Raw genomic sequence first — 26,729 nt, 5'->3', positions numbered from 1 at the left:
CTTCTATTATTTACTATCATGCCTGAGATGCCACTCATTGTATTTAAAGCATACAGACATTATCTTTTAAGATTACAACGGATTCAGAATGGCTATATTTGAATTAATTTTGATATTTGAATAAACTTTTCACCATCTACATTTCAATTGGTCTCAGTGATTTTCTTATGCTATTTCAGCTGATGCTAGTTAAGTTTTCAAGAACAATAGATTGATTTTTTTGTTTAACTTACTTCATAGGGCTTAAGTATTTTATTCTCATCCTTTTAAAGGATGCAGAGAAATCCTAGTGATTTCATGGATAATTATGCAGTGAAAGTAAGTCTCTCTAAATTAGAATTAGTTAAATTTCCAAAATCTAGTTGAAGGGATGCTGATACAACATTACATTATTAAACTAAAATGTTGCCATTCAAGATATAAGGCTATCACTGCTCCAAGCGTATGATTCTATAAAATTATTTTTGTTAGAATTATGAATTTTTTTTTAAGTCTTCACTGCTAATACCTTCAGGAACTGGATAATTCAAGGTGACTAGGGACTGGAATGGACCCCCAGCACACTGAAGTAGCCCTGTAAAAAAGTGGCCAGATTGTTTGTAACATGGGACCCTGATCGCGTATCTACTTACTGGCCTGGGTATCCAGGTACCCTCTCTCACAAGCCGCCTTTGAACTGGGACTATCAAGCCAGTAGCAGCTCTGCAACTCCCTGGGACAGAGCTCCCTGTGGAAGGGGCAGGTTGCCATCTTTGCTCTCTTGAAGCCCTCACCCTTGCTGTCTCCAGGCTCTGCAGAGTCCACGGGACGTGGGAATGGTGTGGAACCCCACACCGTGCACCCATTGCACAGAAAAGTGGCTGTGTTACAGCCTACTTAGTCCCTAGTTTAGTTAGGTCTGAGTTCTTGTTCCACAACCAAGGAGAATAAGGCATGCAGACACCAGAGAGTGCATGGAGTAGGATTTTTAAGCAAAAGGGAAGCTCTCAGCAAAGAAAGGGGGCCTGAAAGCAGGTTGCCGGAAATGGGGCTGAATTTTGGGTCTTTTAAGTGGTAAAGAGAAGGAAGTCTTCTGTGGGATCTGCCCAAAATGGGAGGGGCAAATTCCTTCCTAAGGATGTTGCATCTGCGTATGCCTGGGATTGGCCAGAGTGAGTCCATCTTGGTTATTACCCATGAAAGCCTAAGAAAAACTCATGGAGGTGCTAAAACCACAATGCTAATGTCATGTTAATGACATTTAATGAGTTGAGTCAAATTAAGGACAGTTAGGTTGATATATTGTCCCCGTGCCTAGGCTGGGACATTCCCTTCTGAGCAAGATCCTGGCATAAGAGGAAATTCTTAACCACATTTCTTTCCACTAGGTATAGGGGTTGTGCAGGTGTGGTCCTGCAGGTATTTTTCCACTCCTGAAACCCTCCCTCCCTATCTGCCTAACCAGCCTCTAAGTTTCTCCTCTGTTGGCTGAACTGTTCTCCCTGCAGGTCCTGGTTCTCATTTCTTCTCATTGGGCAGGGCTGCCCAAATTAAGACTCCAGAATAACCACCTTGCCCAAACCTGACCACTTCAATCACAGGCAGCCCAGCAGTGTTAAGGAACGCCCACATGCAGAGATGAGAAAGAATCAGTGCAAACTCCAGCAACTCTAATTGCCAGTGTTTTATGTCCTCAAAATGGCCACAGTACTTCTCTAACAAAAGTTCTTAATGAGGCTGAGTTGGCTGAAATGATAGAAACAGAATCCAGAATACAGATAAGAATGAAGATCACTGAAATTCAGGAGAATGACAAAACCCAATCCACGAAAATGAAGAATCACAATAAAATAATACAGGAGCTGACAACAAAATAGCCAGTATAAAAAAGAACCTAACTGATCTGATAGAGCTGAAAAACACACTCCAGGAATTTCACAATGCGATCGCAAATTTAACAGCAGAATAGACCAAGCTGAGTAAAGAATCTCAGAACTTGAAGACTGGCTCTCTGAATTGAAATAAGATGGTAAGAAAAAAAAAAAAAAAAAGGAAAAGCAATGAACAAAAAACTCCAAGAAATGTGGAATTATGTAAAGACACCAAATCTATGAATAGTTGGCATCCCTGAAAGGGATAGGTAGAAAGTAAAAAACTTGGAAAGGATATTTCACGATACCATCCATGAAAACTTTCCCAACCTAGCTAGAGAGGCCAATAATCAAATTCAGGAAATACAGAGAACCACTACAAGATTCTACACAAGAAGATTATCTCCAACACACTTAGTTATCAGATTTTCCAAGGTTGAAATGAAAGACAGAACATTAAAGGCAGCTAGAGAGAAAAGGCAGGTCACTCATAAAGGGAACCCCATCAGGATAACAATGGACCTCTCAGCAAAAAACCCTGCAAGCCAGAAGAGATTGAGGACCTATATTCAACATTCTTATAGAAAGAAATCTTCAACCTAGATTTTCATGTCCAGCCAAACTAAGCTTCCTCAGCAAAGGAAAAATAAGATGCTTTTCAGATAAGCAAATGCTAAAAGAGTTTGTTACCACCAGATCCACCTTACAAGCGATATTGAAAGGGGTACTAAATATGGAAAGGAAAGATTGTTACCAGCCAAGACAAAAAAACATGTAAGTAGAAAGACCAGTGACACTATAAAGCTACCAAATAAATAAGCTGGCACAATAACTAGGTAACAACACAATGACAGGATCAAATTCACACATATCAATCCTACCTTGAATGTAAATGAGCTAAATGCCCAATTTAAAGTTACAGAGTGGCAAGCTGTCTATAAAAGCAAGACCCAATAGTATGCTGTCTTCAAGAGAGCCATCTCAAACACAATGACACACATAGGCTCATAATAAAGGGATGGATAAAAATCTACCAAGCAAAAAGAAATCAGAAAAAAAGCAGGGGTTACAATCTTAATTTCAGACAAAACAGGCTTTACACCAACAAAGATCAAAAAAAACAAAGAAGGGCATTACATAATGGCCCAGGGTTCAATTCAACAAGAAGACCTAACTATAATAAGTATATATGCACCCAACACAGGAGCACCCATATTCATAAAGCAAGTTCCCAGAGACCCATGAAGAGACTTAGACTTCCACACAATAATAGTGGGAGACTTAAACACTCCACTTAAGTAATAGACAGATCACTGAGGCTGAGAATCAACAAAGATATTCAGGACCTGAACTCAACATTGGATCAAATGAATCTGATAGACCTCTATATAACTCTCCACCCAAAAACAACAAAATATACATTCTTCTCATCTGCACAGGACACATACTCTAGAATTGACCACACAATCAAACATAAAACAATTCTCAGCAAATGCAGAAGAACCAAAATCATATCAGACCCACTCTTGGACCACAGTGCAATAAAAAATAGAAATCAAAGCTAAAAAAAATCATTCAACACCATGAAATTACATAGAAATTATACAACCTGCTTCAGAATGACTTTCAGAATTTGGTAGATAATGAAATTAAGGCAGAAGTCAAGAAATGCTTTGAAACGAATGAGAACAAAGATAAATCATACCATAATCTCTGTGACATAGCTAAGGCAGTGTTAAGAGGGAAATTTATAGCTCTAAACACCTACGTCAAAAAGTTAGAAAGATCTAAATTTAATAAGCTAGCATCACAATTAAAAGAACTAGAGAATAAAGAGCAAAACAACCCCAAATCTAGAAGAAAACAAGAAATAACCAAAATCAAAGCTGAACTGAAGGAGATCGAGACATGGAAAACCATTCAAAAGACCAACAAATTCAGGACTTGTTTTTTTGAAAAAAAAAATTATAAGATAAAAAGGCCGCTGGCTAGATTAATAAAAAAGAAAAGAGAGAAGATCCAAATAAACATAATCAGAACCAACAAAGAGGATGTTACCACTGACCCCACAGAAGTACAAATAACCATTGCAGAATACTATGAACCCCTCTATGCACACAAACTAGAAAACCGCAAAGAGCTACATAAATTCCTGGACACATACACCCTCCCAAGATTGAAACAGCAAGAAATTGATTCCCTGAACAGACCAATAACAAGCTTCAAAATTAAATCAGTGATAAGTAGCCTATCAACCAAAAAAATCTCAGAACCAGATAGATTCACATTTGAATTGTAGCAAATGTACAAAGAAGAGCTGCTGCTACCATTCTTGCTCAAACTCTTCCAAAAAATTAAGGAGGACAAACTCCTCTCCAACTCTTTCTATGAGGCCAGCCTCATTCTGATACCAAAGCCAGGCAAAGACACAACACAAAAAAGAAAACCTCAGGCCAATATACTTGATGAACATTAATGCAAAAATCTTTGACAAAATACTTGCAAACTGAATCCAGATCCACATCAAAATGCTTATCCACCACAATCAAGTAGGCTTAATTCCTGGGATGTAAGCTTGGTTCAAAGTATGCAAATCAATAAATGTGATTCATCACATGGACAGAACTAAAGACAAAAATCAACATGATTATTTCAATAGATGCAGAAAAGACATTTGATACAATTTAACATCCTTTTATGTTAAAAACTCTTAATAAACTATGTATTGAAGAAATATACCTCAAAATCATAAGAGCCATATATGACAAATCTATAGCCAACATCGTACTGAATGAGCAAAAGCTGGAAGCATTCTCCTTAAACACCAGCACAAGATAAGGATGCCCTATCTTATCACTCCCATTCAACATAGTATTGGAAGTCCCAGACAGAGTAATCATGGAAGAGAAAGAAATAAATGGCAAACAAATGGGAAGAGAGAAAGTCAAACAATCCCTGCTTGAAGATGACATGATTTTATATCTAGAAAATCCCAGTCTCAGCCCAAAATCTCCTTCAGCAGATAAACAACTTCAAGTGTAAATTTGCTCAGCCATTGTGGAAAGCAGTGTGACAACTCCTCAAAGAGCTAAAAACAGAACTACCACTCAACCCAGCAATCCCATTACTGGGTATATACCCAAAGGAATATAAATCATTCTACCACAAAGACACATGCATGCAAAAGTTCATTTCAGCAGTATTCACAATAGTAAATACATGGAATCAAACTAAATACCTATCAATAGTAGACTGGATAAAGAAAATGTGGTACATATACAGTGTGGAATACTATGCACCCATAAAAAAGAATGAGATCTTGTTCTTTTCAATAACATGGATGGAGCTGGAGGTCATCATTCTTAGCAAACTAATGCAGGATCAGAAAAACCAAATACCACATGCTCTCACTTATAAGTGGGAGCTAAATGATGAGAACGCATGGACACAAAGATGGGAACAGCACACACTGGGGCCTATCTGAGGGTGGAGGGTAGAAGGAGGGAAAGGAACAGAAAAAACAACTATTGGGTGTTAGGCTTAGTATCTGGGTGACAAAATAATCGGTACAATAAACCACTGTGGCATGAGTTTACCCATATAACAAACTTGCACATGTACCCCTGAATATAAAAGTCAGAAAAAAAAATTATGAAAAATATAAAAGGAAAAATCCACATTTGAATGACTGTGTGATTACTGTACTAAATACACAACTATGATTCGACATACCATCTAAGAAGCCAAGACATCTAATAAGATTTTGTCAATATTATATAAAAGATAATTTAAACCAAAAGCATTTGAATCAAGACCACACTATATAATTTATCTGTAAAACATGTTACCACATAAAAAATTCCATTCTAAAATGCTCCCCCAAACCTCAGTGTCATCTACTAATACAATCTCACAAGCTGTTCTGGGGAGGTCTTGGTGATTATCAGTCTGGGTTCATTTTAACTTTTTTATTGTTGTTGTTACATGTATAAAGAACAGAGATTTATTTTTCACAGTTCAGGGGGCAATTTTCTTTTTTTAGGGTTGAGACCATGTACAAACCTCCCAACTTCAGTCCCAGGGCATTGGAAGAATGCTGAGGTCCTTCTCAGTGGAGCTAGGTTAGCCAAGTGTGAGGAGCGGGGAGAATGATGTTCTTCAATTAGAATTGTAAAAGTTTGTGTTCATTATGTTGATAATATTTTAATTAATGCTATTTTGAGAAATAAACATTACAATTTAATGACTATATAATGAGTATGTTAGTATAGAATAAGCACACTTATTTCAATTAGTTTTTTCTTTTTCTCTGAAACGTGGCATATTTCTGCAACTCACTATACTAAATAATATGAAACCAATATTCTGGGCTCCACGGGTCACTGTCCCACTCCCTGAAGGAAATAATAGCTCTTCTTACAACAGCCAGCTACCTAAGCTTTTCTTGCCTCTGTAACTATTAATAATTCACCCCATGGCAACTTGAGGCAACTTTTTAAAAGATCAGATTATTTATCTCTCCATTAATCACTCTAAAGTAAAATTTTATAATGTCTTCTCATCACCCTTAGAAAAGGATTGCAAGGCAAAACATAGGACAAGTGTTATGTTTTAAGTATTATATCATTGCAGAACAAGTGTTGGATGAGACAAATTATACCAAAAGTAATTATCTAAAATTCCAATTTAATTAGGCAGCTTCTATTTTTATTAGCTAAATCTGGCACCCTAGTATAGCTGATAAAGAAAACCCCTTTTAGTGTCCTACACACCCTATCCACTCTGGCATCTGCTGGCTTTGCCCGCATCGTGTTACATCAGTCTCTACCACACTCTTCCCTATTCCTTTGTTTCACAAAATGCAAGCTGACCCATCGGTGGGTTGTGAAGTCAACTCAAGGGCCTGTCTGTGTTGAGAGAGAGAGAGAGAGAGAGAGGGGAGAGAGAGATAGACAGAGAGAACAAAACAAAATTAAAGGAATAGAAACAAAGGTAAAAGTGCATAACATGTAGTAAGAGAATAATGCTTCATAAAACTCTAAGCTATACATGTGTAAGTGTGTGTCTCTGTCTGGTGTCTCTAGGTGTGTATTAGGTGACAATGTAAAATTAATTTTTTTACTGTGGGTCTGGGTCAAGTATTTTGAAAGCCACTGCCTAGCCACATTGCCCTTTTTTAAACCAGCAAGTGCAAACCACTTTCCGGCTCCTGGACCTTTGCAAGACTTTTTTCCCTCTGCTTAGAATGATTCTTCTCTCCATAATACCTTATCCTCCTCATGTGTCTGGCTCCTTGTAATTGTTAGGTTCTAAACTTAAATGGTATTGTGTCCGGAATTGGTGGGTTCTTGGTCTCATTGACTTCAAGAATGAAGCCGCGGACCCTCGTGGTGAGTGTTACAGTTCTTAAAGGCAGCATGTCTGGAGTTTATTTCTTCCTTCTGATGTTCGGATGTGTTCGGAGTTTCTTCCTTCTAGTGGGTTCGTGGTCTGGCTAGCTCAGGAGTGAAGCTGCAGACCTCTGTGGTGTTACAGCTCATAAAGGCAATGTGGACCCAAAGAGTGAGCAGCAGCAAGGTTTATTGCAAAGAGCAAATGAACAATGCTTCCACAATGTCGAAGAGAACCTCAGCTGGTTGCCACTGCTGGCAAGGGCAGCCTGCTTTTATTCTTATCTGGCCCCACCCACATCCTGCTGATTGGTCCATTTTACAGAGAGCTGATTGGTCCGTTTTGACAGGGTGCTGATTGTTGCATTTACAATCCCTGAGCTAGACACAAAAGTTCTCCAGGTCCCCACTAGATTAGCTAGATACAGAGTGTCCACACAAAAGTTCTCCAGGTCCCCACTAGATTAGCTAGATACAGAGTGTCCACACAAAGGTTCTCCAAGTCCCCACCAGAGTAGCTAGATACAGAGTGTGGATTGGTGCATTCACAAACCCTGAGCTAGACACAGGGTGCTGATTGGTGTGTTTACAAACGTTGAGCTAGATACTACTGAGTGCCAATTGGTGTATTTGCAACCCCTTTGCTAGACATAAAGGTTCTCCAAGTCCCCACGAGACTCAGAAGCCCAGCTGGCTTCACCCAGTGCATCCCTCGCGGGGGTCGCAGGTGTAGCTGCCTGCCAGTCCTGCGCCGTGCGCCCGCACTCCTCAGCCCTTGGGTGGTCGATGGGACTGGGCGCCGTGGAGCAGGGGGTGGCGCTCGTCGCGGAGGCTCTGGCCGCGCAGGAGCCCACGGCGGGGGAGGCTCAGGCATGGCGGGCTGCGGGTCCCGAGCCCTGCCCCGCCGGGAGGCAGCTAAGGCCCGACGAGAAGTCGAGCACAGCAGCTGCTGGCCCAGGTGCTAAGCCCCTCACTGCCGCGGCGGCGGGCTGGCCGCTCTGAGTGCCGGGCCTGCCGAGGCCACGCCCACCCGGAACTTGCGCGGGCCCGCAAGCGCCGCGCAGCCCGGGTTCCCGCCGGCGCCTCTCCCTCGGCGCCTCTCCCTCCACACCTCCCCGCAAGGTGAGGGAGCCGGCTCCGGCCTTGGCCAGCCCAGAAAGGGGCTCCCACAGTGCAGCGGTGGGCTGAAGGGCTCCTCAAGCGCGGCCAGAGTGGGCGCCAAGGCGGAGGAGGCCCGGAGAGCGAGCGTGGGCTGTGAGGTCGGCCAACACGCTGTCACCTCTCAGTATCTTCTTAAAGAGGCTTACAATAGTGGAATATGTTGAATACTGAAGAGACTGATTCACCTTGCTCTAAAGACCTGTGGTAGACAAACATATTTAATGTAAGGTAAGTCATATACCACTCCCCACTCCACACCCCACACACACAGCCCTCCAATATTATTTGAGTTCACTATTAAAGAAAAGTCGGTATTTTTCTCAGTTGGTTAATACTATTTAGAGCCAGTAATGACACCTACTTTGGAGGTATATTTTATTATTTTATTTGTTAAATGTATTAGTTACTGCAATATCCCTCAAATTTGTTAAATAATGTAACCAAATAATTCAAATTTACTTTTTAAATTATTTCAGTTGATCTAATTATTTATATAGTTCGTTATAGTGTGTAGGTACCTGATTATTGGAATCTAAACCTTTGTGAAGTGTTCTGTTTTTAATCCACAAGAGGGATTCACATCTCTTAGGGTAAAATAATTTACAGAAATCTGCTTTGAGGCTCAGAGAGAAATTCTTCTTGAATATGCTTACAAGGACTAAACAGCTCTCATTTTATCCTAAGTGATACTTTTAAAAGCCTTTGCATAATGCCACTCTTTTCCATTTATATAGACTTCTAAAAAAATGAGCATGCTTGTCTTCCAGCTACTAACAACAGATGTGCTTAGCATAAAACATCAGAAGTGAATTTTGCAAACTGTAGCTAAGATCTAGTAAAATTGGAATGAAAATTTGCCTTCGAGGAAGCTATCTGCTATTTTCTTCTGCAAATTTGTTTCATATTTTCCTTAAAGATAAGGGGGAAAGGATAAGCTCTTAGTTATGTTTCTATATTAGCATTACATCTGGTTACCAACTTTAAATATTTTTTTGAAAAGTTTCAATTGGGTCCTTGTGTCAGAGACCTTCAATAAAAGATTTTTAATTCAAAAGAGTTGAAATAATCTCCTATGGCCCTTTGACTTGAAGAAGTCAGTTTTAAAATTCAGTTACCTCTGTCATAGAGTTTTCAACCATTAAGCATCTCTTTTTAATTTTTTTTTCTAAAATTTGCTCAGGATTTAAATGGAAGCAATAATGTAAACTGAAAAGCATAAGAGATTGACTCTTCTAATTTATGACAAAGAAAACTACTGCACCTGCTTCTTTTAATATTTATAAGCAATTTTCTAAAATATTATATTCTAAAAGCACACTGATTTTCCTTTTAGTAGTAATTGTGAGAGGTTTTCAAGTTGCAGTCTTTGAATTTTATTCTGATTGTCGGGTATATTATATTTGTGATAATAATTGTGGGAGTATACTGTTTATTAATAGTATGTTACATTTCCATAGTATTTCAAAACTTCTGAAGCATAAATTTATTCTTTTAAGTTCCAAACTATATTTTTTTTCTCAAAGCTTTACAAAATGTTTTGCTTTTGAAATTTTAACACACTAAATTCCACTTTCAAACTAGGTTTTTTTGGCTTTTCTTTATCTCCCCAAGACTTGAAATCTTTTCAATTAGGTTTCTTAGTTGACTTTGCTCAACTATGACATGAAACAATTAGCTTTTTATTAAATCTGCTAACCATCAAAAAGCACAATGTAGATGTTTTGTAGCAGGTAAAGTACTATCTTTTCTCATAGAGTAAGCCTTTATTTCAAATAAAAGTAATAAAATTATGCTTATTGCTCCCAATTTATCTTGGTATATATTTCCAGAAATACTATGCAGCCATGAAAGAAGTTGACAATAACAGTGGGCACCCCATTTTTTGTTGAACTGATTAGTTTTGTAATATAAATTGCATGAAGACAAACCAAAAGTTTGTTCCACATTAATGCACTAATAAAATTGATTATTTGATTTGCTACTACAGAATACATTTTAAAAACTAGTCACTATTTGAAAAATTATTTCTGACTTGTGGTTGCCCAGATGTCTTGATTGCAGAACAACCCCATTCCTGAATGTAGGCATTAGGCAGCTGTTGTTTTCTTCTCAGAACTTGACAGTTGCAATAATTTAAAGCCAAGTCTTGATGCTTTGCTAAATTAGTTATTCTCTTCTCACCATATATAGTCATTGACATTTCATAACATTTGAGCATCTTGCTCACTCTTTCATTGAATGAACATGCCACTGAAATCACAGCAGTGACTGAAAATTCAAGGAACTGGAATAATTTTGATGATCCTGAATTAATTTTTTAATATAGAAATTTCTATGAAAGGAAGGTAATAAATACTGCTAAAGAAATTGACCATGACATCATCACATATATCTGTTGTATTTAAATTTCAAGATTTCTTTTATAAATGGATTAAACACTATACTTTTTATATTGTTCCCAACATTTGGTCTTTGCTTGTGTATCACGCAATACATTGGGAATCTTCCAGGTGTGATTTTCATCACTTTAGCTTTTTCCTACTTCTGTGTTGCCCAAGTTACACCATTCAGCAGCAAGTAGCTGTAGTGTTAAGTTTTCATGTTAAGGCTTTCCTGGAATGTACTGAAATGTGTCCTTCAGCATGTCCAGTTTTAATACCTAACTCCTCACAAAGTGAGAATTTTGCAAAGCATCCTGAAGTCTCATGTATACTAGAATTTTAAATCTAATATTTTTGCTTATGTACATAAGATAAATTGAAGTTATTTTCTTTTTTTTCCAAAGCCAAACTGTATCCATCTTCATTAAAGATACTTTCCATAAACAATCATGGTATTTCAGGCAGGACGTGGGCAGACAGTCGTTAACAGTATACAGCAACTTTCAAACTCCCTTCTTCAATGGACTACCAAAAATCAGAAAGCCACTATAAAACTCAATGAAGTCTTCATCTGATGCTCTGAACAGGGAAAGTTTAGAGTGAGGGTTGACATTTCACATTTAGTGTGTTGTTTAACAACTTTTCATGAGCTGACCCTGACTTTCAGGAAGTGAAATGAAAATGGCAGAATTTATCTTAAAATCCACAATCTAGAAACGGGAACCAATGCTCTTTTGACAGGTGCCATCTCAGTGGCATCACTGGAAGTCCAGATTGGCTGACACACTGGTTACCAAGGATTGGGGGTCAGGTCCCAACAGATGGCTGGGTTTTAGGGAGTTAAGTCTCTGCTGAAAGATGGAAAGGGAGTGAGGACATAAAAATGAATTTGTTTTTCCATACCACAAGGCTTTTGTGCCAAGGTGAACGTGTGTGCAAAATCAGGGAATCTCTCCTCCTGGGAGCCAAAAAGAAGTCCCTCAAAACTAGAAGAGAAAGATGTTTTCCCTACATCAATCCAGCTTCAGAGACATTCTATTAGTTACATATGCCCCTTCCCCCTAAAATACCAATGAAGTGTTCTGTGTGCTAACAACATAGCTTAAAAAAAGTAAAACAAGATTCTGCATTTTTATAAAACTTGATCAGAATAGTATTTCAAACTGTACAGCCACCAGAAGTACACACTCAGTCAAAAAGGCACACACTCCACTTGGCATCTCCAGCACCTTCAGCTTTCTGTGCCTGGTCTGTTTTGGCATCTCTCTTTTCTGCAGGCTTATTCCCCTCCTTGCCTGCATCAGCTTTTCTTTTTTTCCCTTTGGGTACCTTCTCTGTCTTCTTTGCAGGGGCCTTTTTAGGCTCAGGCTCTGGCTTTGGAGGAGCAGGTTTAGTAGACAACCTCGCGGATCTTCTCTGTGGTTCATCCTTCACCTTGACTTTATGTCCTTCAGCCTTTCTCCTGGGCATGGTGGCGGCGACAGCGGCTGGACGTAGGCACTGGGCACGGGATGCAGTGGCGCGCGGGCTTTGGTCGGTCCGGGGGTGGTTCTCGCCTCTTCTTATTCACACTGTTCCTGGAGTTATTTTCAAGATATCAGAAAGCACCTTTAGATCAATTGTCACTTTATGCCTATGGCTGAATAGAACAAATTTAAATGTAAGGAACTTGGCTTGGCTCTATTAGCTCTGCAAAGGACACTGTCTATTTGATATAACCATGATGTCCATGAGAATGTGCCTCTCAGGTCTCTAGCTGCAGGGAGCTTAACTGTCCGAGGGCCTAGCAGCAGTGCTTTGAAATTCACATAGATTCTTGCGCTGATGGACAACCTCAGGCTACTCCCAAAGATTGAGTATGGCAGGATACCAACGCAGGCCTGTTCCTGGGAGATGCAGCTGTCCTCTGATGCACAGCTTTGGCTTGAGGACTCTTCATCTGCCTTGCCTAACTGCCTAACTTGCCTTAAGTATACATGGCAGTTTGAAATGCTGCCACACCAACTAAGTAAAATTTACCTCCCTCTTTTATTATTATTATTTTTTTTTTTAGCAGTATCATGGTTTAATGACTCTGTAAGCATCCCTTAGCTCTCTCCCCATTTTCTCTCACAGGTTTTTCCTCTGTGAGATTTCTTTCTCATTAAATTTTATTTTGGTGCCTGCTTCTCAGAGAATCTAGAGTAATATGACAACCAATTCTTGTATTCTGAAGTTTAACAAAAAACTCCATAAATGTGTAGACCGTTTATTTTTATCACAATAAAGTGCACTGTTGTTACAAAATATTTGAGTACATCAGAAATAATTTTATAAGTAATTTCAAATAATTAGGTGAATAGAGAAGCTATTATAAACTTAAAAAAGTACTCACTATATCTCGGTACCTAGAGATGTAGAGATAAAATATAGAGTTTATCTCCATATCACATCTATTAAAATTATCAATAGGAATAAATGACTTAACACTTTTAAATATTTTTGCAAGGTGATTACATTAGCATGTAATCCATAAGAGTTAAATATCAACTTATTTTATACTGAGAGTGTAAGGATAACCATATTTCAAATTTCAAGTTTGTAATGATATATTCATGTATTTTTCTTTTCCCACTAGAAATCTAGACTAACACTAGACTATAAATTCCCCATTACTCTTGATTTCCTTGAGGATACAGACCATGATTATTTTACTTTGCATTTCAAGTACTAGTAAAGACCAAATTCAGAGTAAGTGCATAATGAAAGTTCTCACACCTTCCTACTCAAATTTTTGTCCAGGGGCCAGGATTATTGGCATCACTGGAAAGTTATTGGAAATTCAGGATCTAAGATTACCTACAGGACTACTGGTTCCAAATTGGCACTTTATCAAGATCTCTAAATGGTTCATGTACACATTAAAGTGTAGGATGAAGTGATACAGAACCCTTGTCTAACCTTTCTATTTCTTCTTTCCTAAGATAATCTCGGCTTTAATCAAATAGTCTCCTCTGCCTCATAGCCATTTATTCTGGGAAAACATTTATTTAGAAGAGAAGCCATATTTGTCTAAACTGGTGATGGCATAATTCTGTTTGAAATAGACTTGTTTGGCCAGGCGTGGTGGCTCACTCCTGTAATTGCAGCAGTTTGGGAGGCTGAGGCGGGCAGATCACGAGGTCAGGAGATCGAGACCATCCTGGCTAACACGGTGAAACCCCATCTCTACTAAAACTACAAAAAATTAGCCGGGCGTGGTTGCGGGCACCCGTAGTCCCAGCTAATCGGGAGGCTGAGGCAGGAGAATGGTGTGAACCTGGGAGGCGGAGCTTGCAGTGAGCCGAGATCGCGCCATTGCACTCCAGCTCTGGGTGACAGAGCGAGACTCCGTCTCAAAAAAAAAAAAAAAAAAAAATTTGATTTGTTTATTCGTAAGTCGGTGAGTTAAAAGGGAAAATCTGCTGGAAGGAGAACTTCTGGCCAAGGTGTTATGATTTCAATAAGAATAAAAACCCTTTTCTTATCTCTGGATGTTGTTGTATATTGGACCTTTAAAAGACTCTCAAGAAGTATCTTAGCTTTTTTCTACTTGTCTGATAATGAAGCCCAAAGAAGAAGGAAGATGGAACCATGAAAAACAAAAGACAAATGGAAACAGAGCCCTGACCTATTGTAACTGTCGCCACATTGGTGGAATTCTTGTTATATGAGATAAAACAAAGAAACAAATTGAAACAAAGCAACAATACAAACTTACATGTTTAAGTAAACTAAAATTAAAACTATTCATTTTTTAAATTTTTTTTTAATGTTGCAGCTGTGGGGATTCTATCCCGTACAAGTTTTGAAATAATAAATGAATGACAGGAAATGAAAATACAAGTTCTGTTGCTGGGTAGGGAAAGAAAATAACCATCATTAGTTTTATAGTCATGGTTGCATATTTTTCTCTGCTCAAGTGTTTGTTTTATATTTATTTTTCTGTATTAAAATTCACCACAGTTCTTTTTCCTACAAATACATATTACTTCTAAATAAAATCAAATATTCTGTCATAAGAAAAAAAATTGAACATATTTATCATTGAAATGTTTGGACAATTCAATGAGAAAACAAAAGCAGTTAAGTTCGTTATTTATCTTAGAACAATGGCTATCCTAAATAATATTTTACTTTTTAACCAGAAATATTTATATCAGTTAAATAGTCTAAGAAGCCTTCTTTACTCATATAGATATGTGCCTCTTGAATTATCTTTATACATGGGTACAATGGTGAGATGAATTTCATGTACTTTTAAGAAGTAATATAGGATAGAATTTGAGACATTATCATCATTGTCGTTATTATTTTTATGTTAGTTGGCCTTTATTGTGTACATTTAACACTAGGCACTATTCTACATGCTTTACAAGGGTTAACATATTTAAACCTTACAACAGCTTTATGAGCCCGGTACACAACAATTATTGTCTCCATTTTTTGGATTAAGATGTCTTAACTTTGACACTGCTGATATTTTGGGCTGGATAATTATTTACTGTGGGAGGTGCTACTGTGTACTGTAGGATGTTTAGCAGCATTACTTGCCTCTGCCTTCTAGATGGGTTGAAAACCACTTTTACAGATTAGGAGAATCAAGCACTGAAAGTATGCAACCCAAATTTCCCATTAGGACTACTGCAGTCATTCCCTCAGCTGCTGTATGTTTTGGAGCCATCACATGAGTTTGTCCTTGGGAATTGTTTACATATGACCTATCACAGAGTTATACATATAATAAGTGGTAGAGTCAGGATCCAATCTCATGCTGGATCAGGTTTCCATGCTCTTAGCCATTATGCCATGTTGCCTGTCTTATACCTATCATTAATGGAAAGAAGACAGCAAGTGGAAATGAAAAGCTATTCGTTTTATTCTTGTCATTTCCTCTGCCTAAAATGCCTTGACTTCCCTACATGTGTTTGATTGATCCCATTCATTAACCTATCCTTGTCTCATCTATATATGCCAGTTGAGATTTCCTGTTATCTGTAGGCTGTTTTACCTACTACCAAGCCAAGCAGAATATCAGGATATCTTACTTCATAAATCAGGGAGGGTTAGAGATAGATGTAGCTGCTCCTTGCCTGAATGTCGATGCCCTGAATTTTGAAGTCTGTGATGTTTCACCCCAGATGAGAAATTTATCCGTTACCCTTTCCTTTAATTTCAAGAAGCTTCCCTTTCTCCTTCCTCTAAACAAAATGCTCATCTTCCCTATCTTTAAAGTTCACATACATAAACGTAAAATAAATGAACAGAAACACTAAAAATCTTTGAGTTTCCTTCTCTTTAAAAAATATCTTCTTTCTCTTCCTCTGTTTATCATCACACTTGGTGAACATGTTGCCAATGATTGTTATACTATGTAGGTCCTGGTCATCCCATTAAAATCTGACTTCTTCCTTATTTTCACTTTTTAGGAACAGTGTTTGTCATTGGAAACCAAAACCTTATTGACTTCTTTCCAGTTCAATTACTTTGCCAACCCTCTAAGAATGTGATAAGGATGGACAAACACTCCATTTTGACACTCTCATCTTCCATGGCCTATGAAATTCCAGTCTCTCCTTTTAATCTGACTTAGCTGAATGCTTTTTAAAATAAGCCTATTTTTCACTATTTTCTCTGTGCATTGAGGATATTAGTGTGGACAGCTTGTGTTCTTATGCCAGGTCTTCATCTTGAGCCATCTCTTCTAAACTGCCATGGCTGAAACAACCATACATATTCATGTGACTTCAGAAATCTGTATTTTTTTAGATTCAGCTCTACTTTTGAGTTCTACAAGAAGCTAACAGTTCTACAATAAGCTTCCCCTAAAAATCAAACACTGAATTAAATGCTCTAAGAATATCAAATAACTTAATTCACACAGCAATTCTATAAGGTAGGTACAGTTATTCTCTCTGTACTTCCAGGGTCAATCAGAGTGACTATCATGTGGCAGTTTTTGAATGATAATGCCTGAATTAAATGATTCTCACCTAAATCATCTTTACAGCAATATCTTCAGAGACCATCCTCCATTAAAATACCACCACAAGGACATTAAGCAGAGTGCTATTCCAGAATAAAAAGCCTGCACTTGTGAACTTCTATGCCTTTGCATATGCTCTTGCCTTGGCTTGGAATGCCACTGTTTGTTAACAATCCAGTTATTTTTTAAGATCCACATTGTTTCTGTGATGTTTTCCCCTAAATTCCATTTTCTTTCATCACCACCCTTTCCATATTTGCTAAAGAGAGTTATTCTTTTCAGTCTGTCCTATCTCCAAATTTCTGTATGTATATGTGTGTATATATATATATTTTACTTTAAGTTCTGGGATACAAGTGCAAAACATGCAGGTTTGTTACATGGGTATACATGTGCCATGGTGGTTTGCTGCACCTATCAACCCTTGATCTAGGTTTTAAGCCCAGCATGCATTAGGTAGTAGTCCTAATGCTCTCTCTCCCCTTGCCCCCGTCCCCCACGACAGGCCCCAGTGTGTGATGTTCCCCTCCCTGTGTCTTTGTGTTCTCTCCCACTTATGAGTGAGAACATTATTGTTCAACTCCTACTTATGAGTGAGAATATTCGGTGTTTGGTTTTTTGTTCCTGTGTTAGTTTGCTGAGAATGATGGCTTCCAGCTTCATGGTATATGTATTTATAAAAGCATGCTTAAGTTCTGTTTTGAATTGTGTCTTCTTTAATCCTTTCTTCAACTCTGCACAGTTTTCATGTAGCATGTTTTTAGCATGAAGTAAATATTCAACTAAATATTATTTCAATTGAATTAAAATCAAATAATTATCTAAAGCAAATACCTACTTTTATGTGTCTTATCGTTCTGTGTGTATATATTCTCTGTGCATTGAGGTACCTCTGTTACCAGTTTGTAATCTGATTTATCAGCGTCCATCAGTTAGACATAGTACTTGTAGAATAAATGTATGAATGAATGACCCACGTCGTTCCGAATGTATAAGGTGTTGATTTTATTATTCAATGATTATTTTATATTAAACATTTAATTATTGAATTAGTTAAAGTGGAGTCTGAGTAGGAAACCTGAACCCAGAGGTACAAGCGTAAAGGTATTAAAGGCTTATTTAAACATTCATCTCACTGTCTATTAATTGAAGGATTTTAAATTACTAGTGAATATCATAAATAGTCATTATCATGTGTAATAGGGCTAGCGTTCAGATACTACAAAATTCAGTCTTTATTTAACAGGATTCAACCTTTACATGGAAAGATTCCTGCTTTTGATTAAGAATGAATTCAAGCATTATTCAGAGACAATTATGTGAAGCCTACATATAACTCATCTGTATGTCCTTTTGGAATGCAAGAGCTTGAAGTAAAATCTTGAAATAAATAATAGGAGCAGAATTCCCAAATGATAGATACCTTAGTATCATAATAAGTGGAGTTCTATTAAGAAGGAATTAGAAAATATGCAAATTTCTTCACATCTATGCATACTTTAAAAAGTCTTAATAAAATTAGATATTTAAATCGGAGTAAGAAAATTTTAATTTCTAGTAAGGGGAAGAAGATATATAACAACATTTTTGTCTATAATATGGTCTATAATGGAATTACAAAGAACATTTATAAATATTTTATAAAATTAGAAAATATACTTACTTAGAAGTTTATAATTATTTGTAGTATACTGCAATAGTATTTGTAGATTTCTTCTTAAAGATATCGTGAAAAAGGGATCACAAGTTTGCCAAAGAGAGACATTGCAAAAGGATATTTACCATGTTTATTTAAACATAGTGTAGGATAGGGTGACCTGGTCTTCTGCTTTTTAAGGACAAATTCTTGTTACAGTTCAACAGTATCAAGTTGATCCAGCTTGAAAAGGCTATCTCATGTTGATTAAAATCAAAGGTGACATATATAAGTTACAATGCCAATTTATTTTCTTACAATAGAAATATAACTGCCATAGCACATTTCCTTTAGGCAAGCTGCATGAGAAAACCACCATCAGAAGATTGCTGGCTGAATACGGAACCAGAACTGGTGTTAGAGAGGCTGGGATATAGCTGAGCAGTAGTTATATCATTTGAATATTTAATGCCTACAGGCTAAAACACCAAATATGTCCATTTTCTCAATAGATTTACTTTTTATTCCATATGAGGGGTTCAGCTATTGGTTCAAAGCAATCTCTTCCTTGCTTAATGATGGATGACTGCTGCCAAAATGCCTCCTTTTTTCTTTGTATACCTTTCTGACAATTTTTTTTCCAGCTGGCACATTTTTAAACTTAGCAGGTAATTTATTGATCCATTTACTGTCAAGTTCCTCTTGCTGGCAAGTGATTCTGTTCTCATATATTTGTGTATCTCTGATCTTACATGTGCTTGTTGAATTTAGAATTTAACTGCCAAAGTGAAATCTTATTCTCATGTCCCACGTCTTGGTGGAGACATTTTTGCCCTCTCCATGCCCTCATGAAGCCAATGAAAGCATAAAATTAGATTTATAGGAACACACACACACACATACACAATACTCTTATTATTATTGTAGGCTGCATTTCTACTGCTATCATTTTGTAGACCAATGATGGTTAATGAGATACTATTTCAAAAATTTCCCCAGTTTCTGTTTCAGATAATTACTTTTATTTGGCAATATGGAAAATCTTTATTTGATGTTGGCATTACATTTGAACTGTTACTTACATATGAAAGTACTCAGTGACATTTACAAGGTGACTGTCTGTGGCAATTAAGTGGTTGATTAAAAATAACATTCTTACATTCAACCAAATATTAAATTATTTGAATAAAATACTATAAATGAATTCAGAAATAAATTGTAATTGGTTTACCTTGTATTTCAACAAATTGTTGAGCAGTTCAGTCATTTTGAAATACATCTCAATGTTGATCTTTATACCCTACATATCTCTAAATAGAAATTCTGAAGGAATATATTCACAGTAGGCAGAGTCTCTTGAGAATTAAAACTCTGTCAGTCAAGCTGCATATAAGGCTGACATTAAATGTATGCATGCGTACCTTTTTCTTGCGTTATATTAATTTGCTTTTTAAAAAACAATTATGTTGTGCTTTATGTTTGGGACTTGTATTTTCAGTCTTTAGTGAAACTAATTCTGAAACACAAAAATAATTTTCCTAAAATAAGCAAAAATAATATTTGAAACTCAATTGAAATAATTTTTGTGGGAGAACTAAGATGCAAATAAGCAATACATCTAACTTGTTACTATTTCTGATCAACAAACTTATTGAGTTTGCATTTAAAGATAAAAATGAGTTTTAATTTTTACTTTATTGGCTTTGTGATATAAACAGGTCACTAACGCTTCACTCTCATAATTTAAGAGGAGAAACAGATATTAAAACTCAAAGGCATATATGTCTTATGACTTTCATTGGGTTTAAATAAGTATGGGGCTAGCATTATTCTATGAGTTGCAGAATATAAGAAGTCTTGAATTTAAGAGTCTATCTTTAGAACTCAACCAAAGATGCATGTGCACATGCATGTGTGTGTGTGTGTGTGTGTGTGTGTGTGTGTATAATATTATTAACTCTATTAAAGCAGTGTGGCCGTACGGAATATGAGAAAGTGTTTCCTGGCAACCATGTTGAAAGAGACAGAACTCTATGAATATTTGGGCCCTTCATAGAAATCAAGAGTGAATTTGGACCATTATGTTACTCATGTGTCTGGTCTCTAGAAGGTTCTTGATTACATCCCCTTTGTTTCCCTATAAATAGCTGTTTCTATTTCTAAAGCTATTTTAAAACATAATTCTATTTTCTTATACATGTAGCTCTACTTATCTTTATTCCTAGTTTTTATCTTGTAAATTAATTCTGCTGCTGTGCATTTGACCTCAAATTTTGCTTGTATTCTCTGATCAAACATTATGATGTGTGTGTCTGTGTTGGTGTTTGTGTGTGCATGTGTGTGTGTGAGAGAGAAAGAAGGTAATATTCTTGCTCTTAAACTTTTATCTGTATTTAATTAACTGTGTTAATATTTCACAGAATATTTGAATTTCTGGTAACTTAAAAGTTAAGTTAAACCTGGTAGGATGAATACTTCATTAATTTATCTTAAAATATTTTCCTTGTTTTCAATTATAATTTTATAAATGCACTTAACTTTTAAATAAGTTTGTTAGAAAACACACTGTGTTCCCTAGAAATGAGAAGTCAATATTTTGGACAAAGTGAGGTTTGTTTGACAGGTGACTAGCTTTTTAAATTGGGAGATCTGATATAAAATCAAAACACAACCTAAAAGTTCAAACTACTACTTGGTTTTCTTCAGAGTATCTCAGTTGAGATAATATCAATAAAGTGCAGTCGGGAATTTGCATTCCTATTACAATTGTAATTATTGCAGGAATTTGTACTAACTACTATGAAAAAAATTAATTAATAGAAAATAATTGCTATGTTCAAAGAAGATTTCTACATCTTAGTATTTCTTATTTATTAAATCTACTGCATGGGGAAAACTCTTCAAACAATTTCCCACAGGACTTTGGAAACTCTTGCCATGGTTTCTACACTTAGGAAGGTCAGATGACTAGAAGTAGTTTTATTAAGCTATTTAGCAAGTTAAAAGATAAACCAGTTATAAATAATTTTTCATTAAGTTTTTTTCTAAGGAAATGTACGGAAAGTTCTAACACTGGTGGGAGTTTACTGTATTTATTTAAGTTCTGTAAATTTGTTAGCAGTGTTTTATATAAGTACAAAACAATGTATTTTAAGAATGTTCAAAATATGTTTTTGATTAATATAGTTAATAAACATTTATAAAGCACCTACTATATAACAGCCATTGTTCTAAGTGCTGGGGATATTCTTGAAAAGTGAGTTAGGTAATAAATAATAATTACAAATATGTCAGTTAATAAAAGTACTCTGAAGAAAAATAGAGCAAGGTGAGATGGTAAAGAGTGAACACTTGGACACAGGAAGGGGAACATCACACACCGGGGCCTGTTGTGGGGTGGGGGGAGGGGGGAGGGATAGCATTAGGAGTTATACCTAATGTAAATGACAAGTTAATGAGTGCAACACACCAACATGGCACATGTATACATATGTAACAAACCTGCATGTTGTGCACATGTACCCTAGAACTTAAAGTATAATAAAAAATAAAAAAAATAAAAAGAGTGAAAAGTTGTTGGAGAGAGACAGAAGGAGCTATGCTAGATGGAATTGTGAGGGAAGTCCTGATAATTGAGGCAGGAGATAAAGGAAGTAAGCAAGACATCCTCTACTCTCATGGAGAGTAATTGTACTTGATGGGTCTCAGACAGAGGCAATTATAAGAGGGAGACTCTGGGGCGGTTGACCTACACTTGAGATGTTTTTTACAAGAATTTACCTTTAATTCTGGCCGTGATCACTTTATTCTGCTTAACTTTGTTGAGGATCTCAGTCTGCAAATGCAATTGAAAAAAAAATTACTCAGAGAATCTTGAAGAAAAATGGACTTTATTTAGCTCTAAAATTTAAAGAAATATAGTGTCCAAACTCATTGTACCCTCACTTAAGGAACATATGTGTAACATATCTAGTTACACATATGCCAGTTCTAAGTTACTTATTTGAAGAGAATGTCAGCTTGAATGTGAAGGGGTTTTGCTATATGAGGAAAGGAAATAAGGATTACAAAACATCCTAGGTCTTGTCTTAGAGTAAACACTCCATAATTGTAAATTGTTATTACCTTTCTTATTACTATTATTAAGAAATTGGGGTTTCACATGAATAATAGAGATGAGTGGGAAAATAAAACTGTCAATATAGTGAACAAATAATGAATTGACCAATTTTTAATCACAGTCAAACTGGATTTCTAAATCTTAAAAATCTACCAAAGAAGACGTGTTATTTCTTACCTTTGGTGGAATTTTCCAATGCATGATAACCACTGCCTTATGTAAATTCAATAGATCCATATCTTCCATGAGAAAACCAAAGCAAGCTCTCTCTGACATATTTTTTATTAAAACTATAGATACTTAATTTTCAACCTATCTGTTTTCTTTGCTCCTGCATTAACTTGCTGGATGACCATGATTTTCCTGCTCCCTAAACCTCAGGGGTATTGTAGGTTTCACCATTGGAGGCCAGCACTCTGTTTTTAATTCAAAGGGGGCAAGGGATGACAAATATTTCATCCCTGCACCCTCCCCTACTCTCCACCTATTGAAGTTACCTAGTTGCTTATCTAATGCAAAACCCTAGCCACTGTGTTCAGGCCTTAGTAACTGCCACTGTATATCTACATGTGAAGGGACTGAAATTTCAGACAAGGAAGCTATCCAAGGAGAGGCTGCTATAGCACTCTCAGTGCAGACCCTGATCCTCAGAGGTGGACTGAGAAGCCTTGAAACTAGAGATGGCTACCAAGGAGACAGGTCACAGGACCCGGTCCCCAACCCTTTTCCTGTAACTGCCTAGAAGATTGGCACTATGAGCTATCAGACAGAGACAAAAACTAAAAATCATAGCTTTGGGTGGCTAGAAGCCCGAAACAAACAAACAAACAAAGAAAGTTTAAAAAATATTTCAAAAAACAAGATACAAAGGGAAGAAGTAAAAAATACATACAAATATCTTATTAAATTAAAGGTCCAAAATCTTACCCAACTAGAAATTCAAAGTTTATTTGTAAAAATTACATAACAAAAGAGTTAAAAGGGCACTGATTGGATTTTGTATGTCTACAACACAGGTTCTAATACAACTTTAACATTTGCTAAAAGACACCAATTGAACTCACAGAGCTTCATAGACCTAATACTGGGTCTCAAATATAGTTATACCAACGTATTCTTCTAAATTTACACAAAATGTCCTCCCTAATTTTAGCAAAATAACTAAATATAAAATAGTGGAAAAATAGGTATGCTTCATTTTAACTATCCTCTTGTCTAATTTTCCCATTGTTATAGTACTCATTACCCCAAACTATTTCATGGTGGGCATAGATACACTGATGCAATGAGCAAAAAATGAAAAATACACTTTTGGCACTTGCAAATTGGCTGGATGAAATGGAATCCCATAAATCCCCAGTTAAAATAGTTAAAATGGTCCAATGTAAGTTAAAACAGGGCCCTGAAGGATTAAAACTTACTACGTAAGACCTAACTAGAGGTAATTGTGCCCACTGCTTCTTTGTTTAATAGCCCAATTATACCTTTTATTAAACCTGGAAAAAATAAATGCACCCCAAGGTGAATTATTGTAGAGGCTTTAGTAACTCATTCTTGTGCCTCTTAATAGGTCTTTGAACAACCTATGATAGCTATAAGTTACCCATAGGCTTCTGATAGCAAAATATTGCCCTTCTTGGCTCCAGCCTGTATATCATTAGAAAGAAAATTACTGGCTGCTTTCTGTATTCTTCTGGAAATAGAGCCTTTCATATATCCCGAGTCTGTGACTCTTCATATCCAGCTGCCCATTATGCCTTCAGCAATGAAAGTAACACACCACAAGCTCTACACAGCTACTGAGGCCCCCTCGATACAAGGTGGAGCCAAACCTGGGCCCCTCTGGTATATTCCACCTGTAGGAGGGGATGACCTCTCTGTCCTCAGTCTGTTGCCAGGTGCATTAGACAGGGTGCTGGGAGAGGTCATCCCCAATAAAGGCCCCTTGGTTACCTGTACCTCGGACTCCCTTGGAATTAACTGAATGAAAAGCCATAGGAATTGTAGGCTGTACAGATGTTATTTCCAGCATCATTGGTGAAAGAGGTGAGTGGCATATTGCTGCTTTCTATCTCTTAACTAGGATGTCTCTGATAAAGGACTGGACGCAAGTGACCAAACTTCAGATAGTCATTGTAGGACTGGATGTACTGATCACCAAATACCTCATCTGCACATTTTTAGAAACTCTTGGGCCATTGCCTAAGAGTTGTCCCCTTTATGGAAATCTCTTGTCTTACAGAAACCCAAAATATAAATCAAGATCACACATATCACTACATATACTAAAGCCACAACACAAGGTCTCACCAGGACACTCTTTATTCCCTTTAGAGTTGGAGACATTACCGATCATGACCAAGACACATATTTCCCTTCTCAAAGTACACAGTGCTGGGCTTTTGAAAGACTTTCACTAAAACTTTCATTTCCCTGATAGGTCCCAGGCAGCTGGTTTAGTTGACAGTCCAGTTGATCTCCTCAAATGATGTCTATTTAAATTATGAAATGGTAAGTGGAGATATAAATGGGTCTTTGTTTTGCCCCAGGTCTTAGTCTTTCTTAAGACCCCTTAGCCAACAAATACCTCACACCAACTCAAAACAAACAAACAACAATAACAACAAACCTCAAAAAACCTTTTCATGTCTTTTTAATATATTTAAAATAGAATATGTGTAACTTCCATGTAAAGACTCTTTACATACTAGGCCCTTTAATAATGCCTCCCCATATCTTATGAGTTTTTAATCCTACCCTCTTCCCATAAGTGCTGGAGGCCAAATAAAGGGCACATATTCTTCCAGGCCTCATTAATCACAAATTATCTCATGTGCTAGGAACCTGCTCATTTGTTAGGGGAATCATTTGAGGCTGCATTTCTACCACCCAAATAATCTTCAATATTCAGGTTAAGAAGAGGATAATTAATCTGGACTGTCCCTCTGATGGTCTAATTTAATTTAGTAAATTGAAATTAGTATTGCAGTGATATAGTTTGGCTATTTGTTCCTGCTCAAATCTGTTGTTGAACTGTAATCTTTAATGCTAAAGGTGGGGCCTGGTGGGAGGTGTTTGGATCATGGTCCCTCATGGCTTGCTGCTGTCTTCATGGTAGTAAGTTCTTGAGAGATCTGGTCATTTAAAAGTGTGTGGCACCTCCCTTCCCACACCCTCTCTTGTTTGTTCCTGTTTTTGCTGTGTGATATGCCTGCTCCCCATTCACCTTCTGCCGTGAGTGTAAGCCTCCTGAGCCTCCCTAGAAACCAAACATATGCAAGCACCTTGCTTCCTGTAAAGCCTGCATGCAGAACTTGTGAGGCAATTAAATCTCTCTCTCTCTTTTCTTTCTTTATTTTTTTTATTTTTTGAGATGGAGTCTTGCTCTGCTGGAGCAAGGCTGGAGTGCAATGGTGCGATCTTGGCTCACTGATATCTCCACCTCCAAGGTTCAAGCAATTCTCCTGCCTCAGCCTCCTGAGTAGCCGGGATTACAGGCAAGTGCCATCATGCCCAGATAATTTTTGTATTTTTGGTAGAGGTGGGGTTTCACCATGTTGGCCAGGCTGGTCTCGAACTTCTGACCTCGGGTGATCTGCCTGCCTAGGCCTCCCGAACTGTGGGATTACAGGCATGAGCCACTGTGCCCGACCTTCTCTCTGTGTTTTTTTTTTTTTTAATAAATTACCCAGTTTCAGGTATTTATTTATAGCAATGTGAGAATGGCCTGGGCTGGGCACGCACGGTGGCTCATGCGTATAATCCCAACACTTTGGGAGGCCGAGGCAGGTGGATCACTTGAGGACAGGAGTTTGAGACCAGCCTAACCAACATGGAGAAACCCCGTCTCTACTAAAAATGCAAAAATTAGCCAGGCGTGGTGGCGCACACCTGTAATCCCAGCTACTCAGAAGGCTGAGACAGGAGAATCACTTGAACCTGGAAGGTGGAGGTTTTAGTGAGCTGACATTGCTCCATTGCACTCCAGCCTGGGCAATAGAGCGAGACTCCATCTCAAAAAAATAATAAAGAATGGCCTAACACACACACAGGATCTGTCTGCAGCAAAACTCTTCTCATCACCTCTCTGGGAAAACCCCACAGACAATATGGGCTGCCAAAAATGGAGATTAAAAAATTAACTCAGTAAATCACATTTGAGGATAATAATAGAATCAACACATTAT

At 37.3% G+C, this 26,729-nt stretch overlaps 1 pseudogene; it reads right to left on the bottom strand.

Annotated features, from left to right (window-relative positions):
• Positions 11,179 to 12,359, bottom strand: HMGN2P11 (high mobility group nucleosomal binding domain 2 pseudogene 11; annotated as a pseudogene).

The sequence above is a fragment of the Homo sapiens genome, chromosome 7 (genome assembly GCF_000001405.40).
Source record: "Homo sapiens chromosome 7, GRCh38.p14 Primary Assembly".
In the NCBI taxonomy this organism is placed as follows: Eukaryota; Metazoa; Chordata; class Mammalia; order Primates; family Hominidae; genus Homo; species Homo sapiens.
Note: the sequence above shows the minus strand (reverse complement) of the source record. Positions and strands in the feature narration are given on the sequence as shown.